Source organism: Homo sapiens, chromosome 12 (assembly GCF_000001405.40).
Source record: "Homo sapiens chromosome 12, GRCh38.p14 Primary Assembly".
Classification (NCBI taxonomy): domain Eukaryota; kingdom Metazoa; phylum Chordata; class Mammalia; order Primates; family Hominidae; genus Homo; species Homo sapiens.
This window is the reverse complement of record NC_000012.12, coordinates 69,032,559-69,058,867: the sequence shown is the minus strand read 5'-3', so window position 1 is coordinate 69,058,867 and position 26,309 is coordinate 69,032,559. Positions and strand designations below refer to the sequence as shown.

General features: G+C 40.9%; 3 annotated features.

Moving 5' to 3' along the window:
- Positions 4,700-5,297: an enhancer, noted in NCBI's record as "H3K27ac hESC enhancer chr12:69447351-69447948 (GRCh37/hg19 assembly coordinates)". NCBI's record gives its function as "activates a minimal SCP1, AML or CMV promoter by ChIP-STARR-seq in primed H9 embryonic stem cells {active_cell/tissue: H9 hESC(primed)}" and the evidence as "EXISTENCE:reporter gene assay evidence [ECO:0000049][PMID:30033119]".
- Positions 15,266-15,765: an enhancer, noted in NCBI's record as "H3K4me1 hESC enhancer chr12:69436883-69437382 (GRCh37/hg19 assembly coordinates)". NCBI's record gives its function as "activates a minimal SCP1, AML or CMV promoter by ChIP-STARR-seq in primed H9 embryonic stem cells {active_cell/tissue: H9 hESC(primed)}" and the evidence as "EXISTENCE:reporter gene assay evidence [ECO:0000049][PMID:30033119]".
- Positions 15,766-16,267: an enhancer, noted in NCBI's record as "H3K4me1 hESC enhancer chr12:69436381-69436882 (GRCh37/hg19 assembly coordinates)". NCBI's record gives its function as "activates a minimal SCP1, AML or CMV promoter by ChIP-STARR-seq in primed H9 embryonic stem cells {active_cell/tissue: H9 hESC(primed)}" and the evidence as "EXISTENCE:reporter gene assay evidence [ECO:0000049][PMID:30033119]".

The window sequence follows — 26,309 nt, the reverse complement described above, 5'->3', positions numbered from 1 at the left end:
GTACTAATTTACTTTTCCACCAACAGTGTATAAGAATTCCCCTTTCTCCACACATAAGGACAAATACTGCATGATCTCACTCATAGGTGGAATATAAAAAAATGGATCTCATAGAAGTAGATAGTAGAATGGTGGTTATCAGAGGCTGGGGAGAGTAAGGAGGAGAGGGGGATGGGGACAGGCTGTCAACAGGTACAAAGGTACAGGTCCATTGGATGGATACTGCTGGTGTTCCAGGGTACAGTAGGGTGACTATAGTCAACAATAGCGTATTGTATACTTCCAAGTTGCTAGAAGAGAGAATTTTGAATGTTCTTACCACAAAGGAATAAAAAGTGTTTGAGGTGATGTCTATGCTCATTATCCTGATTTGATCATTACACAATGTATAATATATGTATCAAAACATGACATTCTACCCCATAAATATGTACAGGTATTATGTGTCAATTAGAAATAAAATAATCATTTTTAAAATGAATTAATGTGCATTTTTGTAGACATTAAGTCTTTATCAAAAAATTAAATGCCTGAATGTATGATGTGCATGTTTCCAACAATATAAAGTGATTGATACTGATACTCACCGTCCTAAGATGGCCACCATTATGTAGATGCTCTATGGCTTTAGAATTTTAATTTGCTGTCAGAAAGTATTCTGTTGGGTAAAATTTCCTATGGAGTTATCAGATCTTCTTACTTTCTTATTTTCGTCTTTTGTCTACTTCAAATGATTATTGAGGAGAAAAGCTTAGGAATGTAGATATTAAAATGATAGCCTTGACTTTGCCTAATTCTTTTTTTTTTTTTAATTTTCGGACAGGGTCTTGCTCTGTCACTTAGGCTGGAGTGCAGTGATGCAATTACTGCTCACTGCAGCTTCCATCTCCTTGGCTCAAGCCATCCTCCTGCCTCAGCTGCCAGAGTAGCTGGAAGTACAGGCTCAGACCACCACACTTGGCCAATTTTTTTTTTTTAATTTTTAGTAGACATGAGGTCTCCCTGTTTTGCCTGGGCTCAAATGATCCTCCTGCCCCAGCCCCCTAACGTGCTGGGATTACAGGCGTGAGCCACTGTGCCTGGTCTACTTCTTTATCAAAAGGTTTTTTTTTCCCCTTAACAGAACCAGTCACCTTGAAAACTATTGGAATAAAATTATTGTGATTATCTTAAAACCTAGTGTTTGTTCCTGTTTCTGTAACATTTACTATTTGGAAGGCAATAGTAAACTTCAATTTATCTTAAAGTTAAATTTGGCTTAAACCAACATGTAGTTCCTGGAAGATGATAGATACTTAATAAATATTTATTGGATGAAGAACTGATGAATTGTGGTAACTGACAACCTCATTTCTAACTCTGTTAACTCATATATTTGCAGCTGTTTTAAAATACACTCACTATTTTCTAACTTGTTGCTTTAAAAAAAGTTAATCCCCAAAAAGGGCATTTGGCAGAAAGTAATATTGCCCAAGGACCCCAACAGGAAACCTATGTTTGGAGTCTTGCCTCCTTGGCAATTTAGGACCAAAAGCAACTTCTAGTAACAAGCTTATGGAAGCACTCTTTTGAGCGTTGGCTCATACAAATATTTTGTGGTTTTGGTGTCAAGTATAAACAAACTAAAAAACTAAAAATAAATCTAAAAGTAGACCTTTCTTCAGAATTTGACTTGGGAATATGGATCTTACTCTATATGTTACTGGGCAAATAATAAGTATACTAAGGAAGGTATGGAATTTGATATGGACTGCAATGCTAAAAAACACAAAATGACTTAAATCTTCCATCACCACTCAAGCCATTTGGAAGGTAAATCAGAGAATAGAATTTTCTTAAAGAACTTATTAAACAATGTATCAATTCTTTAGCAATAAATAAAAAATAAAAAGCATTGCACAATCTTCCCTTCTTCAGCCAACATTCCACTCTCCCAACGTCTGGGAAACTGGACAGGGAGGAAGCAGACTGCTTCTAATTACCCTGTGGCAGCCAAAGATGGCTTCAACTTTTAAGGTATGAGAATATTAAAAATAGTAAATGTTTTTACAAACCTCTCACAGATATTTAGCTTGAAAAATAAATAAAAACATTCAGCTCTAGTTTTCTTATTTTGCCCTTGGCATCACTTCCCAAGTATTTGATCCTGATGGAAAATTGTGATTTTATTGATGGCCCCCATCAGGATTCTGTAACTCTTCCTTGGGTACTGGAGAAAGAAACAGGTCCTACTGGTGGACCTCACAGTCCAGTGGCTCAATCACAGGGCATTCGGAGGAAGAACAATCTGGCTCTCAGAGGCACCCAACACAAGTGACATTCACTACAACTAATGTTCAGGTGGTAAGACTGCAAAGATGAATCCAAGGCAGAGACAACCTTCCAGAACTCTCTTCCCTTCCAGAGTCTGGTCTCCATTCTCCTGGACCAGGGACTTGCTTCTATTAAAATAAGTCTTGTAATTTCCAGAACAATGAATTCAGACCATGTCAAATTTGTTTCTTTTTTAAGCTAGGGAACTCTAATGAGCCTTCCTCCAAGATTTCCTAGGTCTGAGGAAACTGTGCCTCCTTCAGGGTCTCCAGGAGGAGCACTTCTTACTAAAACTTAGCAGGCAGAAACATTGGAAATGGTTCAAGAGGCAACTGGAGCAGCCATTTCTCTGGTATGTGACGACTGTGGCCCATAGCAGGGACAGCCTCAACTCCAGAATCCTTTAATCTATATCCGTTCTAAGAAGGTAAACCTAATGTGATCAGACTCCAGGGACCCAGCCTCATGTTCAAAGGGCTCCCATGTAGAGTCAGAACATATTTATTGAGCACCTACTTAGTGCCAGGCATTGTGCCAGGCTCTGGAAACACAGTCACGTGCAAGATGGGTTTTTGTCCTCAGAGATCTCACAGTCTAAGAAAAGGAAGCAGGTTCTTACAACAGTGATTATGAAAGTGCTAAGTGCCTCAGGACCACGTGAGAGGGAGCACCCAGGAATAGAGCTGCATCCTACTCTTTTCTCTATTTCTTTCAGAGAAGTTGCCCTTTGATTGGGCAATATTGGTATTCCAGCCTGTGGACATAGGAAGACGGCAAATAGGAAATGATGGTCAATTATATTCAATGTCATCCACATACATTTCGCTCCTCAGCACTGCCTTTGCTGCAGTAACAGACTTTTTCACTTTGGGAAAGTAGGCAGAGTCCAATGTCACTCAATAATCCAGTGACCGGCACTCTTCCTGGTGGCAGGCCTTCTCAAACACCCCTCAATTCTGAGGATGTAAACAGTCAAAAGGCCAGGGGATGTGGCCAAATGTAATATTGTGTTAATGTGAGACTTACAAAGCCTCAGTCCTCATGTGTGTCATCATCTGGACTGTGCATTTTGAACTCTGGATGCTTCTGATTGTGAGCCAAAAAGAGCCACTTAGGAACGTCAACTGTCCATAGAGGGGACTTTCCATTTGATTTTGGTCTTTGTGAGCAATGATTAAGTCTTGCTCCATCTTCCATTGTCTTCCATACAACACAGCCTTAGTTTAAGTTCTTCCAAAGCAGACCTTGAGATGTGGATTCATGGGCAAGGGATGTATAGAGAAAGTGGCCTGTGAGGAGGCCGGGGTGGGGCAGGGGGGAGTTTGAGAAGCAGGACAGGGATGAGAAGGATCTGAGCGAAGGCACGATATCAGGCAAAGTCCCAGCTCCCGCCTGCTCCTGCAGGAGAGCAGCTCAGGAGAATGAATTATGCCTTAGAGCTTGTCCCAACTGGAGGCCAGGCAGTTGGTCTTTCATACATCCACACCAATCACTCATTGACTAAGGGCCACCCCAAGGAAACATACATTCCTAGGTATGCAGACAGTTTTCTGTGTGTGGGAAAAATGGCTCTGGTACCCTAGGGCAGGGCTCAAGGTGAGTTGCCGTTGCAGGCCATTTAGAAGTACAGGCACACAGAAGTCCAACAGGAGCACAGACTCCTACAGGGGATCCAAGGAGATCTGGGCAGAACACAGCGTTGCTGCACCCACCAGCATGCTGCATGCTCTCTCTGCCTGGTAAACACGCTTCTCATTGACAACTGGGAGGGTTACTTATAGCCAGAAAGAAGTGATAAAGACATATTAAAAGATTTTTTATGATATATACCATACATGTCATACTTTTTAAGCGATACATGTAAGTTTTAGAAGAAAAGAGGATTCCAGTTTATTTTACTGACACTATCAGATTAGGTGTCAGGAAAGGTGATTGCTACCTCTGTTGCTATCGCTAACCAGCTGTGTGACCTTTGACAACACAATTTGTTGCAATTCAGTAACCGTTTACAGATCTCCTGTGTTTCTGGGCTGCAACTCACAGTACCTACAATGGTGTCTTTCAGTGTACAGGCTAAAAACAGATGAGGCTCCAGTACATAAGTGCATGAAGAGCAGTGGAAACGTGCAAGAGAAAAGTAAACCAGAGAAGGAAATCTTGGTGGGAGGGATTTAGGAGAGGAGTTTTGGAGGAAGTTACATATGAGCTGGGTCTCAGAGGGTGAGCGGGGTGTTGATACGTAGAAAGAGGGAGAATGTTCCCAACCGAGCAAAGGCAAGGAGGTGAGAAAGGAGCATATCAGGCTATTCAAGTCGACCGACCAGAGCAACCTTGTAGGGGTCATTTGGAAAAACAACCTGGGAAAAGAACTTCAGGGTCAGATTTTGGGGCCTTGAATATCCAGTTGGGATGTTTATATTTAAGATGTTAAGTCAAAAACTAAAAGTTTTTGAGAAAGAGAACTATATGGTTTAAACTCACTCTTGGTCATTTCCTCAAGGCCACGCACAGTGGTGGAGTGTCTAGGAGGGTCAGAGAGGAGGGTCTCCCACATCAGCCCGTGTCGAACCATCTGCCATGACTACCCAGGCCATGGGAAGAAACTGAAATCTTGTGCCACATTGTTCTCTCCAGAGGTGAGCTTCTCCATGGGGTCATAGTGCTGTCTGCCTCGTGGCCTTGTACTGTGGCCAGTTTAATCCAGTATAGATGTTTTATTAACATCTCAAAGAAGGAAGGGGCTTGGCATTCCTAACCTTCTCCTTTGAATCTCCTTGGCTTTTGTGCCAGTTTGCAATTTATTTGCAGCAACATCTGGGCCCTTTGCTAAAAGGGGCTAAGCAGATGGATCTTCCTAAGACAAAGATCTGTCAGTGCAAGGTAACTGGATATCTCCACAGCAAGAAAGAGGAATAATACTGATTAAAATACAGTTCAATGTCTACTTTTCATGGCAGTTTCACTTAAAAGAAATGGGAGAGAAAAATGAACGTTCCCCCACGTTGGGCACCATGTGCTGCATATAGTTGAGCCACCTAGAAATTTTCCAATGTGCAGTGATTTATGTCAATACTGGGAAAATTTAAACTCCAGGACAGACTTACCACAACTAACTAGGAGTTAGACACCTAAGAAGCTAGCAGGAAAGCAAGTCCTCCAGGCCGTCCATGCTGAATGAGCTGGAAAAAATCAAAGCTGCTTCACATTAAGGGTTGCCTAGCCTCAAAACAGATCTGTAAGGACCTCACACGGCACAAATCACATGCAGTGATTTGGTGGCAGTTCATACACAGCACCTATTATGGTGGCAACCCCTCTGCCATCGGTTGAAATTCTTGACCCAGATGCCAGACATACTGAGTCACCTGGAATCCCCCTGCCCTCCACACCTCCCACTGCTGGCTGCATAAATATGTATGTGTGGTTACGAGAGCTGATTTAAGTAATTTGCCTCTAGCGGGTGGTTTGTACCACATGTAGGAGAAAACAATCTACCAACATGTATAAAATTAACCTTTTAAATTCTGTCTGGGGACAAAAAGGATTTTGTCTGTTTGTTGATCTATTCTTTACTTGGAAATGAATGACATAACAGAGAAACTGGTAAAACTGTACTGTTTGCCTTTCAGATTATTTCTGGCAGGTAACCTTGCCTTCACTGGATGGAACATAGCAGCAATGTGAAATTTTAAACCTTTTGAAAAATACAAGGTCATAAACATAAGAGAAAGTCTGAAATTTGCAGTTGGAGTCTGGCTCCAAAAGAGGTTTGCAAAACATCAAAGATGACAAAGCTCTGAGTCGCAGGACATTCTTGGCCTCACTGATGAAAAACAGCTTGTATAGCACGCATGTTTTGCCACATTTTCTACTCTTTTGCATCCTCGACTATTGTTTATGAGTAAAACCCCCAAACTTAGCCTGAAATATAAAAACCTTGAAAATCCGACCCAAATCCATTTTCTAGCTTTCACTTCCACCTCACCCTCCTTAAAATCAACACCCCAATTTCATAGGATTATCCATTGTTCTTTGTATATAACATAGTCTCGCACCTCAATATTGTTCACGGGATGTTTTCTCTATTCAAGAGGCTCTTGCTATCTTCTTAACCTGACAAAACTCAGCTCAAAAGTCGTCTTTTACCAAAGGCTTTAAAACAGATCACTCCCGTTTTTGTGCACCTATAACACTTAGCACTTAATTAAAAAACTTTTTTTTGGCCGGGCGCGGTGGCTCATGCCTGTAATCCCAGCGCTTTGGGAGGCTGAGGCGGGTGGATCACGAGGTCAGGAGATTGAGACCCATCCTGGCTAACCCGGTGAAACCCCGTCTCTATTAAAAAAAAAATACAGAAAATTAGCCGGGCATGGTGGCAGGCACCTGTAGTCCCAGCTACTCAGGAGGCTGGGGCAGGAGAATGACATGAACCCAGGAGGCAGAGCTTGCAGTGAGCCGAGATTGCACTATTGCACTCCAGCCTGGGCAACAGAGCAAGACTCTGTCTCAGAAAAAAAAATTATTTCCTAGGTTTTAGGGAACAGGTGGTATTTGGTTACATGAGTAAGTTTATTGGCGGTGATTTGTGAGATTTTTGTGCACCCATCACCTGCACAGTACACACTGAACCCTATTTGCAGTCTTTTATTCCTCAACCCTTTTCCACCCTTTTCCCACTGAGTCTCCAAAGTCTATTGTGTCATTCTTATGCCTTTGCATCCTCATAGCTTAGCTCCCACTTATGAGTGAGAACATACAATGTTTGGTTTTCCGTTCTTGAACTATTTCACTTAAAATAATAGTTTCCAATCCCATCCAGGTTGCTGTGAATGCCATTAATTCATTCCCTTTTATGGCTGAGTAGTATTCCATCGTGTATATATATGCCACAGTTTCTTTATCACTCACTGATTGATGGACATTTGGATTGGTTCCATGATTTTGCAGTTGTGAGTTGTGCTGCTATAAACATGTGTGCACAAGTATCTTTTTCATATAATGACTTCTTTTCCTCTGGGTAGATACACAGTAGTGGGATTGCTGGGTCAAATGGTAGTTCTACTTTTAGTTCTTTAAGGAATGTTCACACTATTTTCCATAGTGGTTGTACTAGTTTACATTCCCACCCACAGTGTAGAAAATGTAACCTGTTCATCGCATCCATGTCAATATCTATTTTTTTTTATTAAGGCCATTTTTTGCAGGAGTAAGGTGGTACTGCATTGTGGTTTTGATTTGCGTTTCCCTGATCATTAGTGATGTTGAGCATTTTTTCATGTGTTTGTTGGCCATTTGTATATCTTCTTTTGAGAATTGTCTATTCATGTCCTTAGCCCACTTTTTGATGGGACTGTTTGTTTTTTTCTTGCTAATTTGTTTAAGTTCATTGTAGATTCCGGATATTAGTCCTTTGTCAGATGTATAGATTGTGAAGATGTTTTCCCACTCTGTGGGTTGTCTGTTTACTCTGCTGACTGTTCCTTTTGCCATGCAAAAACTCTTCAGTTTAATTAAGTCCCAGACATTTATCTTTGTTTTTATTGCATTTGCTTTTGGGTTCTTGGTCATGAAATCCTTGCCTAAGCCAATGTCTAGAAGGTTTTTTTCAATGTTATCTTCTAGAATTTTTATAGTTTCAGGTCTTAGATTTAAGTCCTTGATCCGTCTTGAGTTGGTTTTTGTATAAACTGAGAGGTGAGGATCCAGTTCCATTCTCCTACATGTGGCTTGCCAATGATCCCAGGACCATTTGTTGAATAGGGTGTTCTTTCCCCACTTTATGTTTTTGTTTGCTTTGTTGAAGATCAGTTGGCTATAAGTATTTGGGTTTATTTCTGGGTTCTCTATTCTGTTCCATTGGTCTATGTGCCTATTTTTATATCATGACCATGCTCTTTTGATGACTATGGCCTTATAGTATAGTTTGAAATCAGGTAATGTGATGCCTTCAGATTTGTTCCTTTTGCTTAGTCTTGCTTTGGCTATGTGGGCTCTTTTTTGGTTCCATATGAATTTTAGAATTTTTTTTTCCAGTTCTGTGAAGAATGATGGTGGTATTTTAATGGGAATTGCATTGAATTTGTAGATTGCTTTTGGCAGTATGGTCATTTTCACAATATTGATTCTACCCATCTGTGAGTATGGGATGTGTTTCCATTTGTTTGTGTCATCTATGATTTCTTTCAGTAGTGTTTTGTAGTTTTCCTTGCAGAGGTCTTTCACCTCCTCAGTTAGGTATATTCCTAAGTATTTTATTTTTTGCAGTTATTGTAAAAGGAGTTTGATTTGATTCTCAGCTTGGTTGCTGTTGGTGTACAGGAGAGCTACTGATTTGTGTACATTAATTTTGTACCTGGAAAATTTGCTGAATTATTTTATCAGTTATAGGAGCTTTTTAGAGGAGTCTAGGGTTTTTTATATATACAATCATAGCATCAGCAAACAGTGACAGTTTGACTTCCTCTTTACCAATTTAGATGCCTTTTATTTCTTTCTCTTGTGTAATTGCTCTGGCTAAGACTTCCAGCACTATGTTGAATTAGAAGTGGTGAAAGTGGACATCCTTGCCTTGTTCCAGTTCTCAGAGGAAATGCTTTCAACTTTTCCCCATTCAGTGTTATGTTGGCTGTGGGTTTGTCATAGATGGCTTTTATTATACTGAGGTATGTCCCTTGTACGCCGATTTTGCTGAGAGTTTTAATCTGAAAGGATGCTGGATTTTGTCAAATGTTTCTTCTGCATCTATTGAGGTGATCAGGTATACTATTTTATCACATGGTATTGTGATTATTTGCTCACTCATCTATTGCTATCTCCTCTATGAGATTTGAGCTCCTTCAGGGAAAAACACTATCTGTTTCTCTACATCTGCCCTGAGCCTAACAATGCCTGAAACATAGGATCTACTCAACAAATGTATGTTGGTCAGTGTTATTGAAGATCAATAACTTGCTGAGCAGCACATTCTTTCCTGAACAGAAGCAAAGCACCCAATACCAGGCTTAGCTGTCTCGGTTCCAAGACCAACCATGCAGTTACCCAGGAGGATATGAAGATAATGACACAGAATCAAGTGAATTTTGATGTGCAGTTTGCTATGATCTTATGCCTTCGTTGGAGAACCTGGGTTTTGGCCTTGATCCTGGAACAATTCTCTCAACTCATCACTAGACCCACATTTTAATCTTGTGTGTCCAAGTTTCTATTTTGGTAATATGCTGGTCCAAGGATTACCAAAAGTAAGGTTTCTCTCCTTTTCTAGGCAAGACTATATTTTGATTCCTTTTCTGGCAATGTAATGGAAATTTCAAAACATTAGGAAGCTAGTCAAAAAGTTTCACCCTTAAGAGGTGGAGCTTGCAGTGAGCGGAGATCGCGCCACTGCACTCCAGCCTGGGTGACAGAGCGAGACTCCGTCTCAAAAAAAAAAAAGTTTCGCCCTTAATTCTCTATTAAACACAATGTTAGGAGCATCAGTACCTGTATTGTGTCTAGCCCTTGACCTAAAGGTGAGATTCTTCAAGTATCTAAACCATTCCAGGTGGAGGCTTTGACTAGAGCCACAGGGTAAGTGGAATGATGGGGCATGGGGTCTGTGGAGGGAGTTGTGATGGCTCTAAATCATTGCTGCAAATTTTTTGACACTCCTCCCATCTAGAAGTGGCATCTAAGTCCCCACTCCTTGAATCTAGGTGGACATAGAGAGTATGGTGGAAGTGATGCCATGTGATTTCTAGGGCTAGATCATAAAAGATCATGCAGCTTCCTCCTTATTTACTGGAAGACTACTCTTGGAACCCTGAACTTCATGTAAGAATCTAGGTTGAACCATGCTATGAACTGAATGTTTGTGTTGCCCCCAAAATTCATATGTTGAAACCCAATCCCTAATGGAATGGTATTTGGAGATGGGACCTTTGGAAGGTGATTAGGTCCTGAGGGCAGAGCCCTCATGAATGGGATTAGTGCCCTTATGAAAGAGACCCTGGAGAGATCCTTTGCCCCCCTCTACCACATGAGGTTACAGTGAAAATATGGCTACCTCTGAACCAGGAAGCAGACCTCTATCAGACACTGAATCTGCTGGTAGGTTGATCTTCGTCTTCCCAGTCTCCAGATCTGTGAGAAATACCGTTTATGAGACACCTGAGTCTAGGGTAGTTTGTTATAGCAGCCTGAATGGACTAAGACACACCATCAGCAGAGCCACGTCGCCAACAGAACTGCTGTTGCCTCCATGATCTAAAAAGCCACTGGCTCTTAAATCATGTCACCACTGTCACAATTGGGAGTCCACCACAATCAGGAAGTCACTATGATCTGGTGACTGTTCCAGTCTCAGCATTATATTACCTTGCTGCAATCTGCACCAGCAAAGTGAACGCCCTGGACCCCACCTCTGATCACCTGCAACCAAGAGCTCTGTGGCCATGGTTATGAGCAGAAAGAGCAGGAGGGGAAGATGTTATGGCCCCTGGTTTGCTTTCATTTTTGTTTTTTTAGCATTCCAGGCTTTGTAGCATAAAAAAGCACGCTTAAAGTGGAATGGATGTTGAGTGCAAATCTGCAATATCATCATGATGTCTTTTTTCTTCTATAGGACTATAAGCAATTTACATAAGCACCTTAATATCCAATACCCCAAAGTATCCAGCAATTTTCAAGTCATTATTGAGATAAGGAAGGGGTGTTCCTGAGGGGGCAAAAAAGAGGGAAGAATCCCGAAGTCCTATATGCTGCATGCAAGTCTGCCAGGAAATGGAGCCCTCAAGGGTAGGATGATATGGTCTTAGTCTGGAAAAAGCTTCTGTTCTAGATATTCTCCATTTGCCCATCCTACTCCAGACCCACTCTTCACTCATCTCCACTATACCTTGTGCCCTGGGAAGCTGACCTCCACAGATAGCATCGCCTGGGTTCCTGTGCTCCCGACTTCTGGTTGGGCTTAGCCAGTGAGAGGCACCAGCAAAAGATCAGATAGCAAGGAGAGAGTGGTCAGCTTGTTCATTCCCTGGCTCCTTCTGTACCAGGCTATCATTTGGCTGTAGCTACTTTTCTCTACCTAATACTGCCACCCAAGTCAGAGCACTTGTCAGGTTAGCCCCAGGCCACCAGCAACAGCTCTTGCTGGTAACTGCCTTCCCTTACCCTTTCAGGGCCAGTAGTATTAACGACTTCCCATTGATTCTAGTCACAGAATGTAATTACCATCCTCCATCTTTACAAGAATACTGGTTACTGAGTGTGCTGTTTGTTTACTGCTTGAACACAGACTTCGGAATGATTGCTAGAGTCTCCAGAGATCATTTGCCCATGCATTCCACCACCTCTTGCACAGCACCATGCTTTACAGATCCCATGTTCCACCTAACTAGTCAGACTTTCTTCCTTGCATTGAAGCTGAGTCAGCTTCTTCAGGAGTGGTGCTCCCAGTACATGAAGTAGCTGTGGCTCGACATAAAGTGTCTTGAGAACAAGTGAACCGGCTTTGAGAGGACAATGGCTGCCATTGGTTGGATATGTGGTTCCAGGCATTCAAGTGCTCAATTTCAGTTCCTCACCTGTAAAGGGGAGAATAGCAACCACTGTCAGGATTGAATAAGGTTAAGTATGTAAAACAGCAGGGGTAAACAGCAGACAGCTTTACGAATACTAGCTATCACCTTTACCTTTCGGAAGCTTGGCACTCTTTCCATTTATCTCCACTATTACATTTTTCCTTCTGCTAATTAAGTTTCTTATTGGTAACAAATTGATGTTTTAATTAGTACTACAATCCTGGTGGTCTAAATCTTTGTTCCAGCAAGAAAGGAATGAGAAAAGAAAAAAAAGGCAAGGCTAGGGTGGCTAATAAAAAGTCATTTTCACTCCTGAAAAGAGAACACTGTGCCAGGGGCCCTAAACTTTCTCATTTATTAACTTGCGGTGGACAATTGGCAAAAAAAGTTTTACTGTGGTTTGTAACTTTGGTCAGTCAACAGAGCCTTTGGCCTTGGGCTGAAATAGATAGTTTAGAGTCATTGTGACAGAATGAAACCAGAGTAAAGTGTGGCCAATCTGCTGATTTCCATGGCACTTTGGGTCCCAGTTGTTCCAGATCTCTTCCAGATCTCAGACAGCTTTTAGGATTTCAGCTAAAAGAGTGGCCGGGACAGCTGGACAACCTGGCAGAGTTTTAATAGGTTTTGAATCCTGACTTTCCATTTTATTAAAGAAGCATTTAAAATATTTAGGGGGCTCTAATTACAACCAATAACAAAAGACATCTTAAAGAAGGCAAGCTTCATATAATTATAAAAGATTAAGGTTTTTAAAGAATTCACAGGACTAGAGAGAATGATGTAATTGTATGGGAAAGGTGAAGATTTGCTTACAAGATGCAGGTAAAATTTACCAAAATTCTTCAGGATATTATTAAAAAAGAGAAGGTCTACATGATGAATTATTCTAATATCATCAAATATTCCAAATCTAAACTGAGTCACAGCCAGGCACGGTAGCTCACATCTGTAATCCCAGTGCTTCGGGAGAACAAGGCAGGAAGATCTCTTGAGTCCAGGAGGTCAAGACCAACCTGGGCAACATAGTAAGACTCTGTCTCTACAGAACATTTAAAATATTAGCTGGGCATGGTGATGTGCACCTGTAGTTCTAGCTACTCTGGAGGCTGAGGCAGGAGGATCACTTGAGCCTAGGAGTTTGAGATTATAGTGAGCTACGATTGCACCACTGCACTCCAGCCTGGGTGACAGAGAGAGACCCTGTCTCTATAGACAAACACACACAGTCACATTTAAGCCCCAAACTAAAGCATGCCTGAACTAAAACCTATGGCATTAACTCTTCCATTATGGTAAGAATTTACAACTCAGTGACTAAACATAAACAGGCTCGAGGGAACAACGAGAAAGGTACCTGTCTGCTGACACAGCTATTTAAGGTACACATACCTGTAGGGAAGATGGTCCAAGCATTTAATAATTGGCATTGCTTGGCACAAGCACCAACCGGGTAGAGCAGACTTTACCATGATCTGCTATTCGGCTGAACCAGGGCACGCCACCTGAACAGCATCTCTGCCTACGTTCTATGCAACAGCTCTCTGCTCATCACCTGCAGTGGCTCCTCAGCCTATGACAAAACCATCCACCATTCACAGCACTCCACGTTTCCCAAAAATGAAGTCTTTTTTTTCCCCAAAAATGAAGTCTTTTTTTTCCCCAAAAAAGTCCAAATTCTTTAGCATTATTTTATTCTTCACTCTCTGTCTTCTCCATTCCACTACCAAAACCAACTTTGTAACTTCTTGGCAACTTGCAAGCAGATGGTTCTCCCAAGCAAGCAGAGAATACTGTCCTGAATTAAGAGATGCTGCCTTGAAGGGGGCAGCTGGCCTCAGTGAGTCATTGCTCCTGTCTCTTGAGGATGCAGCTCTCCTCACCTTTGAAAGGGTGATGAGGGCGTGGGCAGCTGAGCAGAATCAGGCCTGTTGAGACGTCTCTTACCACTCAAGCCTGGTTACACTGAACTCCATCCTGATCAGCCCAGTGAAAAATAAAAAACAAAGAGTTCCAGTCACCAAGGAGTTGGCAAGCTCAGCAGCAAGTAGGTTAGGTGGATTTATTTATTTGTTATTTATTAATTTTTTTTACTTGAGTGGCTTTTCTGGGCTTTCATAACCCGCTGCAGTTAGCTTTTGCTGTTCTTGCGCTGGATCGAAATCATTTCCTTAGACTTCTGTCTTTGCTGCTGCTACTCCTTAAGGGCAGGAGCTTTGTCTCATTCTTTGTTATATTCCCAGAGCCTAATCCAGTGCCAGGCATACCTGCCATGTACTCAGAAAAGATTTGTTGAGCAAAACAGGATTGGGCTTAGAGTAAAGAAAAAATTGCACTGTACTAAAACAGCCGTCTCTCTGGATCCACTTTGTGGTTAATCCAATATAAGAAAATGATAATTAGATTACATTTAATGTTTTATAATTATATATTTCTAGCCTAAGAATTTTAGTAGCTGGTGAGAATAAACTTGACGCCCACGGACTGAAGCTCTCAAAGCATACTTTTAGTATTATACATATAAACATGAATCAAAAGTAAACCAGCATTTAGAAAATATATTTTAAACTGCTTAGCATTCTCTTTTTAGAAATTATCAGCCAAGCATGGTGGCTCATGCCTGTAATCTCAGCACTTTGGGAGGCTAAGGTGGGTGGATCACTTGAGATCAGGAGTTCGAGACCAGCCTGGCCAACATGGTGAAACCCCATCTCCACTAAAAATACAAAAATTAGCCAGGCATGGTGGCGGGCGCCTGTAATCCCGGGTGGCTACTTGGGAGGCTAAGACAGGAGAATCGTTCGAACCCAGGAGGCAGAGGTTGCAGTGAGCTGAGATTGCACCACTGCACTCCAGCCTGGGACACAGCGAGATTGTATCTCCAAAAAAAATAAACAAAACAAAAACAAAAAACAAAAAAACCACAAAATTATCTATAAAATCATTTTCTTTACAAACAACAAAATAATCAGTTTAGTAAAAAAAAAATTTTTTTAGTGATCCTGGAATAAAGTTTCCCACAAATGAAAGTTATAACTTACTGGGGAGATAAATAGAGATGTGAATTACAGGAAACAGGTCATGTTCCTTCTATTAAAAAAAAACAAACAGCAATAAGTTTTTACTGTTTTCTCTTTTATTTTAAAAGGAACAACTTTTCCTTGATAAAACTTGGAAAAATATGGATAAGGGATTTAAAAAATCATCCTAATCTACATTCTATAAATAATCAATGCAGAGAGTTTGAGTATTTCTTTTTAGTCTTATTTCTATACATTCACATAATTATTACATGGTTGAGATTGTATTGTTTACATGGTTTCACATCTGGTTCCTTTTTTACTTAATGTCATAGCTTGAGCCCCATTAAAAAAATAAAACGGTGACACTGATACACTTTTGGACAAGACCATGTTTGGCCTTGCCTTTTTCATGTTGGTGAGTGACAAACTGACCATCTCACTCTTGTCCCAGTACCATTCCTGGGGTAGAGATGGGCTGGGCTTAGCAGTATAGTCTCTGGCTTTATGCACAACTGGGCCTTATTTTTAATGTATCTGGTTATGTCTCAAACACCTGACCAAATATTGCACCTTAGGAGGGGCAGGAGGAAGAGCAGTACCCAGAGGAAAGCAACAAATGTGGTGAAAGGGTCGTCTAAGGAAGGAAAGAACTGGGTTGCTTTCCCTGAACACAGAGGAGAATAGTAATAGTGAGTGGCCTGGCTCACTGGGAGTCATGACTGATTTGCTTTCACTACTCTGCTGGGTGTCTGCCTGGGCTCCTCCCACCCTCTCCACCTGCTGGGTCCCTGGGAGGCTGACCTGCAGGAGCGGCTCCACAGGCTCTCTTGCCCTGTGACTTCAAGCTGGGTTGGCCAGTGGGGAGCCCTGATGGGCTTAAGGAGAATGACACTGGTGTATTCACTCTCCAGCTCCCTTTCTGTGGAGTCACTGCAGGCTGGCTGTATCTCCCCACCAAAGGCCACACATGCCCCGTCATGCGCCCTCTCCATGGGGCCCTCTGACTCTGCCTCTGGTAAGCACCTTCTCCTCTTGTCCTGTCAGGTCTGGGATGGATGGGGGATAGAGGGGTGGTAGCAGTGCTTGTCATTACTAATTCTGGGCACTGCACTACTCTTTTCCCTACACTTTGACGATCTTTTAAATAGCCTTCTTTTAAACTCTTCAAATTATCCAATATGAGGGCACCCTTTATTTCCTGCCAAGATTCTGATAGAAATATTGAAACCACATGTCGCTCCTCCAAGGCTAGCATATTTCATTCAATATTCAGAATCCAACTATTACCTGAGTTTCCTCAGCAGGGTCATTTGAGGATAGTAAATGTATAAATGACCCATCTCCAGTTCCAGCAAGTGGCTGTTTCTAATGGCGCTGCTGCTGCTGGCGATGACGAACAGTAATGCCAGCTGCCGTCATGTACCCATTCAATGCCTGGGCCACATACCCTTCATGACTGGGCTTGATCCTCAGAACAAGTCATTAACAAGGTGGCTTTTGTTCCCACTTTAGAGTTGAGTAAATCAAGTATCTAGAAATTTAGACTAATGTGTGCACATCCATTGCCTCACCTCCTTTAAACCTTGACTCAAATGACATTTTCTCAGTTAAGCCTTTCCGGGCTACTCTAATTTTAACATTTCCCATGCCCCTTCCCTGCTTTATTTTTCTCCTCAGCATATCACTGGCTAATATACCTTTTTCTCCTCATTTGTCTTGATTAATGTCTATCTCACTCCACTTGAATGTAAGCTTCATGAAGACAGTGTTTTGTTTTCTGTTTTTTTTGTTGTTTGTTTTTATACGGTCTTGCTCTATTGTCCAGGCTGGAGTGCAGTGGCTCAATCACAGCTCACTGCAGCCTCGAACTCCTGGGCTCAAGCGATCCTCCCACCTCAGCCTCCCAAGTAGCTGGGTAGCTGGGACTATAATGCTCAGCTAATTTTTAAAAAGTTTTTCTTAGAGATGGAGGCCTTGCTTTGTTGCCCAGGCTGGTCCTGAACTCCTAGCTTCAAGTCATCCTCCTGTCTCACCCTCCCAAAGCACTGGGATTAGAGGTGTGAGCAACCATGTCTGGTGTTTTATTCACTGCTTTATCCCAGCACTTAAAATGATTCCTGGCACATAGTAGGTCCTGAGTGTGTATATATATATATACACACACACATATATATACACATATATACACATATATACATATATACACATATATACACATATATATACACATATATACACATATATATACACACATATACACACACACACACACATATATATATATATACACACACATATTTATTCAGGACCTACTATGTGCCAGGCATATATCAATCAATACATTATTATTGCTGGCACATAGTAGGTCCTGAATAAATATGTGTATATATATATATACACACATATATATATGTGTATATATATATATATACACATATATATGTGTATATATATGTATACACATATATATATGTGTATATATATGTATATACATATGTATATATGTGTATATATATGTATATACATATGTATATATGTGTATATATATGTATATACATATGTATATATGTGTATATATATGTATATACATATGTATATATGTGTATATATATGTATATACATATGTATATATGTGTATATATATGTATATACATATGTATATATGTGTATATATATGTATATACATATGTATATATGTGTATATATGTATATATGTATATGCATATGTATATATGTGTATATATGTATATATATGTGTATATATCTGTGTGTGTATATATGTATATACACACACACACGTATTTATTCAGGACCTACTATGTGCCAGGGATCATTTTAAGTGCTGGGATGAAGCAGTGAATAAAACACCAGACATGGTTGCTCACAACTCTAATCCCAGTGCTTTGGGAGGGTGAGACAGGAGGATGACTTGAGGCTAGGAGTTCAGGACCAGCCTGGACAACATAGCAAGGCCCCCATCTCTAAGAAAAACTTTTTAAAAATTAGCTGAGCATGGTGGCACATGCTTATAGTCCCAGCTACCCAGCTACTTGGGAGGCTGAGGTGGGAGGATCGCTCGAGCCCAGAAGTTCGAGGCTGCAGTGAGCTGTGATTGAGCCACTGCACTCCAGCCTGGGCAACAGAGCAAGACTGTATTAAAAAAAAAAAGAAAAAGAAAAAGAAAAAAACACTGTCTTCATGGAGCTTATGTTCAAGTGGAGTGAGATAGACATTAATCAAGACAAATGAGGAGAAAAAGCTATATTAGCCAATGATATGCTGAGGAGAAAAATAAAGCAGGGAAGGGGCATAGGAAATGTTAAAATTGGAGTATATATACATATTTATTCAGGACCTACTACGTACCAGGAATATATATATATAGCAATTCTCCTGCCTCAGCCTCCCAAGTAGCTGAGATTACAGGCGTGTGCCACCACACCTAACGAATTTTTTGTATTTTTTAGTAGAGATGGGATTTCAAGACCATGGCTGGTCTTGAACTCCTGACCTCAGGTGATCCATCCGCCTCGGCTTCCCAAAGTGCTGGGACTACAGCTATGAGCCTCCGCGCCTGGCCTTGAATAAATATTTTTAAATGAATGGATGATAAAGTCAGAATTCAGAGTCAGGTCTGTCTACCTTGAAGGTCTTTGTTTTTCTACAATATCCTCCTTAGCTAGTCACAAGCAATGTAACTAGATAACAGCCTCCAAGAGAAAACACAATAGCATTATTTTGTACTAGATGTAACCATTATGCAACCTGTTATGACTGTAACATGAGACCACTAATGAAAAAAAACAAAATGATGCTGACATATTTGTTTTTAAAAATGCGTTTACTACCAAGACAACGAGACATATGGTAAGACCATGTGGGCTTTCACAGAAATGAGGAACCATTTGGAATGGAGAAGAAAGAATATTGAGCAATGGATTTTGGTGCAGATAGCAGCCACTCACTATTGACTCAGTGAAGGTGCAGGTGCTCATGGAGTGAATAGAAGCTTTCTTCAGGGTCAGAAGAGACAGATGACATAGGCATGCAAGTTGAGAATGCATGGCCAACTGGTGGGAGCATGGGTCTGGAAGAGGCAGACATTCTGGAACTGAATCCTGAATGTTGCCTTTTCCTTGGACTTTGAGTGCTTTATGCTTCATTTCCCATGGTACTTAGGAAAGGGGGAAGGAATAGTAATGACTGAACAGATTGGTGGTAAGAAATACATTCAGCGGCGGCTGGGCACAGCGGCTCACACCTATAATCCCTGCACTTTGGGAGGCCAAGGTGGGTGGGTCACGAGGTCAAGAGATCGAGACCATCCTGGCCAACATGGTGAAACCCCGTCTTTACTAAAAATACAAAAATTAGCTGGGTGTGTTGGTGTGCGCCTGTAGTCCCAGCTACTGGGGAGGCTGAGGCAGGAGACTCACTTGAACCTGGGAGGTGGAGGTTGCAATGAGCCGAGATTGCGCCACTGCACTCCAGCCTGGTGACAGAACGAGACTCGGTCTAAAAAAAGAAAAGAAAAGAAATACATTCAGCAGCAAGTTGCAAAGTCCTTGCTTTCCAACTGTGGATATTCCAGAGAGATCAATGATTACCTGGTGACTAGAGCATAGGCTGTGGCCTTAGACACACATGGGTTTACCTGCTTGCTCCACCACTCACCTTGACCTTGAGAAAGCTACTTAACCTTGCTAAGCATCAGTTTCCTTGGTTACATAATTGGATAATAATAGTATTGATTTCATTGTTATAAAGATTACAGGAGATAACCCTTGCACCTAGCACAGAAGAGGTGCCCAATAAATAAGTGTTCAAAATCACAGTTATGTTGGACTAATAACTGGATTTGGATGGAGTCAAATTGCTGACCAGAGGGAGTTACCACTCTCTCCAGCATGAGGTCTCCTGTCATTACAGGGAAGGGTAATAGTGATAGAGGACCTCAGGAACTTATCCCACCCAGGATCTGGGACCTCTGACATCACTAGGTAACAGTTTTTCCTTCTCATAGAAAGCGGGTAGAATTAAAAGACTGGACTATTTGTTCAAAGTTCTCTGGGTGCCGCTTCCCAGAGAAAGGCTCTATTTTGCCCAAAATCTTCTTAAAGATTGTGCCTGCTTGTGGTTTAACATTGCTATTAGAAATATGTAGAAGCTTGCCCTTTGGCATCCCAAACGACATAGGAAAATTATGAGTGATTGTCACAAAGGGCCTATAATTTATTCCCTGAAAAAAATAATAAAATGACTGAGAAGACGCCTCCCACCTTAGGAAATGCAGCCCACCAGGACTGCTGGACTCATCAGCAATGCATGAACATGCCCTCTCTTTTCTACCCCCAAGAATGTAGACATTACCTACTAGCCACGTGAGGGTATTTAAATTTAAATTGATTTAAAAATATTAAAAAGTCAGCTCTTCAGTGGCATCGACCACGTTTCTAGTGCTCCATAGCTGTATGTGGCTAGTAGATACCATATTGGATTCTGCAGATATGGAATATTTCTATCATCATGGAAGGATCTACTGGATTGTGCTGTCTAGTGGGTAATGCCAGCTCAAGGCTCAGAGTCATTCAGACAAAGTAAAAAGCTTCATTTTCAGACCAGCGTTGCAAGTGGTAAGGAAAAATTGAATATTGCTTAGCATGGAATATCATGGAGAAAATAAGAGACCAGAAAATCTTTTCAACCGGACTCTAAGTGTCCTCAAACTTCCATGTCACTGCGATTTTTTTAAAAGTGTGATCCAATCTAGAGAGAGCATTGTGCCTGCATTTTGCCACATCTTAAAATAATGATTCAAATCTTCTCTAAAATATAATTTTATTGTAGAACTGTAAGTCAAGCAAACACTTAGAATCCTGAAGAACCCTCACTCAGGTCCTTACTGAAGGCTCAAACGCTGTGTCTCAACTAAGGCAAAAGAGGTTTTGGAGATTTTTAATGAAACAGGGCCCTGGCTCTAGAGGCCTGGGTACCTCACATGACTCAGATCACCACCTACTACCCTGACACCCCTCTCCCTTATGTCTTCTTCCCCCCAAACACATTCACTCAGCCATCTCTAACCCTTTCTATTCCACTTCCTGTGTTGCCTCCCAACCTCTGCCCCGGTCATTGGTCATTGGTATTGGTCATTCTCAGTCAATTCAAGCTCCTGTGATGGATGAGGGATGGGTCAAGTAGGGTGGAAGGTCCTTAAAACCTTGAAAAGTGGGCCGGGCAAGGTGGCTCACACCTGTAATCCCAGCACTTTGGGAGGCTGAGGTGGGTGGATCACCTGAGGTCAGGAGTTCGAGATCAGCCTGGCCAACATGGTGAACCCCCATCTCTACTAAAAATACAAAAAAAATGAGCCGGGCGTGGTGGTGGGCACCTGTAATCCCAGCTACTCAGGAGGCTGAGGCAGGAGAATCGCTTGAATCCAGGAGGTGGAGGTTGCAGTGAGCTGAAATCACGACATTGCACTCCAGCCTGGGTGACAAGAGCAAGACTCTGTCAAAAAAAAAAACAAAAAACCTTGAAAGATGAATGGAGCAAGAGAGTCACAGAGGCCCCTGTGGCAGTCTGATTGCAGGACCACGGAATAAAGCATCTAAAAAACAACCTGAGCTTTTGCACACAGTGAAAAACACAAACACAAAAACAAAACCTCCTACTAGCATTTTCGTATTATGCTAAGAGTCGTTGTCTCCTTCTTGGTTTCGAGTTAAATTTTAAACAGCTCTCTCTTATTACTTTAGGCTCAGTAGCTGTTGAGCATTAGGAAAGCAGACATAAAAAGACTTGTTCTGCCACACTGGCAACCTTGAATAGCCCACAGGCTCACAAGGCTAGGCTATATCATCAGTGCCAAATAAAATGAGAGAAGTTTCTAAATATAAGCAAGAAGAGTCTTCAAATATCCAAGAAAACAAGAATGATCTTATTTCCAAAGGAAATAATGTAGGGTGGTTGCCCCTGCAGTTTAGTTAAAGGGCTAGTAAATTCCCCAAGTCAGTATTTGTGAAGCTCTTTACATTTCTTAGAAAAAAAACAGCCCAGTGATCCCTCAAGTTAATATCATCCCATTGTGCAGTTTACATTCCTCGCACAGTGTTTCCACTGCTCTGGAAAAAGCCTACTGTGGCCCAGTGGTTTTCAGAATCTGCAAAGCTATGAAAGCTGCTCTTAAATGAAATCTGACAAGAAGCCTGATATGTAAAAGAGACGGAAGTGAAGCTGCTCTGGTTGAAGGAGGAAGGAGGCCCAGGCTGTCACCTCGGAGTCCCTACGGAACCTGGAGGGCTTGTGGAGCACCATTCGAGCTTCACTACCCCATATGGACTTATTAGAAACCTCACACTGCACATTTCAATGTCAAAGATGCTCGGGTTGGGGAAGATTATCATCTGTCACTTTCAAAAGAAGTTTGTAAACGATGCTGCAAGCAATTACTTCAAGGACCAAGCAAATTCAAGGATGCTGAGACTAAAAAGAATTATTCATCCACATTTAATATTTGTCTGCCACACTCATGCAAAAGAGTGAATTCTTTGCAGCTTTAGTGTTATTTTAATAGGTTATTGCTATTGCTTTTACCTTTATGGCATGAGAGGGCTTCTGTACCTGTACAGACCAATGTCCAGAAGTCCAGTAAGTGACAACATGAAAGAATAAAGCAAACATTTCATTAAAACTTTTTTCTTTTTCCTTTTTTTATTGAGGTAAAATAAACATGAAATTTACCATCTTTACCATTTTTTTTTCTTTTTCTTTTTGAGACGGAGTCTCACTCTGTCGCCCAGGCTAGAGTGCAGTGGTGAGATATCAGCTCACTGCAACCTCCACCTCCTGCGTTCAAGGATTCCCCAGCCTCAGCCTCCTGAGTAGCTGGGATTACAGGCACCCGCACCACACCCAGTTAATTTTTGTATTTTTAGTAGAGATGGGATTTCGCCATGTTGGCCAGACTGGTCTCGAACTCCTGACCTCAGGATCCACCCACCTTGGCCTCCCAATGTGCTGGGATTACAGGCATGAGCCACCCAACCTGGCCTCATCTTTACCATTTTTAAACATACAGTTCTGTGGTAATAAATCCACTTAGAATCTTTTTCCCTTTATTTTCCTCTCCTGCAAAGGTCTCATTTTCAATTTACAAAACATTTTACAAATTATTGCTTAAAGATGATCACATTCTAAATTTTTATTTTGCGATGCATAGCATTTTGGTGCTAGGAGAAGAAAAAGAAGATATTGGTGTCAGGGGCAGCTACAGGACAATAGGGGAAAAAAGAAAGAAAATTTTCAGGGGAGATTTTTGGTGTTCTTAGAGGTGGCTTTCATGCCCTGTAAAGATTGCTCGGGTCTTTTCTATATTCCTTTACATTTTAAATGACAACTGAAAAAGTTTTGTTCTTTCTTAAGATGTCAACTTATAAATCTTATTGTTGCATTTATTAATACAAATCTAGAAGAGTTCAATAATCACATTTTAGCCTTTACAGCTTAATCTTTTAAGCATTTAAAATTATACTTATAATTTTAATATAAATAAATTTTTTTGCCTTAGTTGGTTATCAAATGAACTTTATTGTATATTTATATAATTCTTGTACATCTAATTAAATTTACAAAGATGGTTAAACTTAAGTTCTTTTAATTATTCCATTATTGCTTGTAATCCAAGTAAAATTATCTTATTCCTCTGAAGTCTAAATCAACCCAATTAACTCTTTCTAAATTGGAATCACAACTTGCTAGATTCCTTAAAATGCCAAATTCTTAAATACTGCAAGCACTTAGAATACAAGAAAAACACAGATTATTCTAAACTTAACATGGAAGTATAAATAATTTGAGTTTTATTTATTTCATCATTTTTCTATTTAATAATAAATCTTTTCAATGAGAAAATAACGTCAGCCCAAACCATAGCTGATGTTTTTGACCCAGTGCACTGAGCTTCTTAATTGTACTCAGAAAGCTCCTGTCCAGACCACAGGATTCCATCCTTTTATTTAATTCTAATGGGTCACATGAAGCCCAGATCCTTTTAATAGTGACCATAATGAGCTTCTATAATTTTCAAAAAGGGTGGGTGTCCTAGACCATCCCCTTGAGTTTAAATCATATTATTACCTAATTGTCTTTATTATTGGAAATCTGTAAGTCCATTAAAATTGTAACTAACTCTTGTACTTCTTTGGGTCTTCTAAAATAGAAATGTTATTTTATTTAATTCTTCTTGCCGTGAGGATTGGTCTAATTAGTCACAAATAAAATCATGCTGATAACAAATAATAAAGAAAAGGACTGTGGAATTAAATACAATTTTATAGAAAAGGTTTGAGCCCAAAAAGAGAAAATACAATTGCAGATGAAGGAAATAACTAAAAAGTTAGTTAAGTGGGCATTATTTAAGACCTTTTTTGTTTTTGTTTTTCGTTTTTTTTGTTTTTTTTTTTTTTTTGGAGACAGGGTCTTGCCGTGTCACCCAGGCTGGAGTGCAGTGGCAATCTCGAAATCTCGGCTCACTGCAACCTCCGCCTCCTGGGCTCAAGCAATTCTCCTGCCTCAGCCTCCTGAGTAGCTGGGATTACAGATGCACGCTACCATGCCTGGCTAATTTTTGTATTTTTAGTAGAGACGGGGTTTCACCATGTTGGCCAGGCTGGTCTGGAACTTCTGACCTCAGGTGATCCACCTGCCTCAGCCTCCCAAAGTGCCAGGATTACAAGTGTGAGCCACTGTGCCCAGCCTCTATTTAAGACCATTTAAACTAGGTGTATCATCTGGTGGGATTGTAAACATAGAATAAAGGATGAAGAAAAAGAGAATTTAATTCCAGATGTGCCATTAATTACTAGAAACAGTTTTGTCAACACTGCTAAATATTTAGCTACATAAATTTATAGCTCTGTCACCTGAGCCTGAATAAATCCAAACAGGAAAGTCCTCTGGGTTGTTATTAGAAAATCCAGGTCACTATTTAGAGTACATAAACTCTACTATTTAGAGTTTTGCCACAGACGGATTTCATGAGAAAGTAAACATTTTGACCAGCCTGGCTAACATGGTGAAACCTCATCTCTACTAAAAGTGCAAAAATTAGCTGGGCGTGGTGGTGGGTGCCTGTAGACCCAGCTACTTGGGAGACTGAGGCAGGAGAATCACTTGAACCCAGGGAGGCAGAGGTTGCGGTGGGCCAAGATTGCACCACCGCACTCCAGCCTGGGTGACAAGACTGAGACTCCATCTCAAAAACAAAACAAAGACAAAAGAGTAAACATTTTATGCATTTAATGTATCCATTTTATTCATCTACTTATTTATGTATATTAGTTACTGCTCTTACCCCAAACAATCAGTGGTTGAACACAGCATAAGTTTAATGCACAATCATCTCATGGAATAGTCCAACGTAGGTTGGAGAGGGGTTAGACTCTCTTCCCCACTGTCATTCAAGGACCCAAACTTCTTATATTCAATGTCCTCTGTTGAATCTCTGAGTTCTGCCCAGCAAATGGGAGTAGGGAAATCACATGGCAAACTCTGGGAGAGGTTTTATGGGTCACCTTCCTGACTTCTACCTGTCTCCTTTTAGTCAGAACTCAACCACGTGGCCCCACCTGCCTGGAAGAATGTCTACTGGATCCAGGAGGAAAATAGAACAGCATGGTGAACACCTAGCCAGTCTGCCACATTATAGCATAGCTGTAGACTAATACTTAGGGTTTCATTCTGTAATTAAATCAAATAGACAAAGTTTATCATCAACATACAAATTGATGTGGTAAAAGAAAAGTGAGTATAATTTTATCACTCATGAAGGTCATGCCACAGACAGATAAGTAATGATGTTCACAACTGCTTGCAAGTTGAGACTAACTACAACATTGAAATAGATGCTGTGAAAGTGAACTTTTTTTTTTAAAGAAGACAGTTATGGTCAAATTTTCAAATACAAAATTTTTAGTAGATCACCATGATAACTTGATCAGAGTTCATCTTCATATAATGCTTCACTTTATGAAGTATGGGTTTATAAGAAGGGAAATAATTTACTATGCCTTATGTTTAGTGTGAAGAATGGAGGAGGGAGACATGGAAGATGTGAAGGCTACTACCTGATATTTCTTGGTCTGAATCAGGCCTGGAAATGAGGAGAGGAAGGATATGGGAGGTTGGTAGAGATGCTCTGAGGGAGTGACAGAGCCATTGTGAGGTTTCTGGGTTTCTGCTATAAGACACAAGGAGGACAACAACATCATTGGTTGTGATGGGGGGCTCTGGAGAACTGGGTAGAAAAAACAAGGTTTAGTTTTTTAAAACACGATTTTGAGATTTCACAACATAGATAAGTGATGAAAAGCATGAGTTTGTGGCCAGTAAGACCTAGTTTTGAGGCTCTGATGCA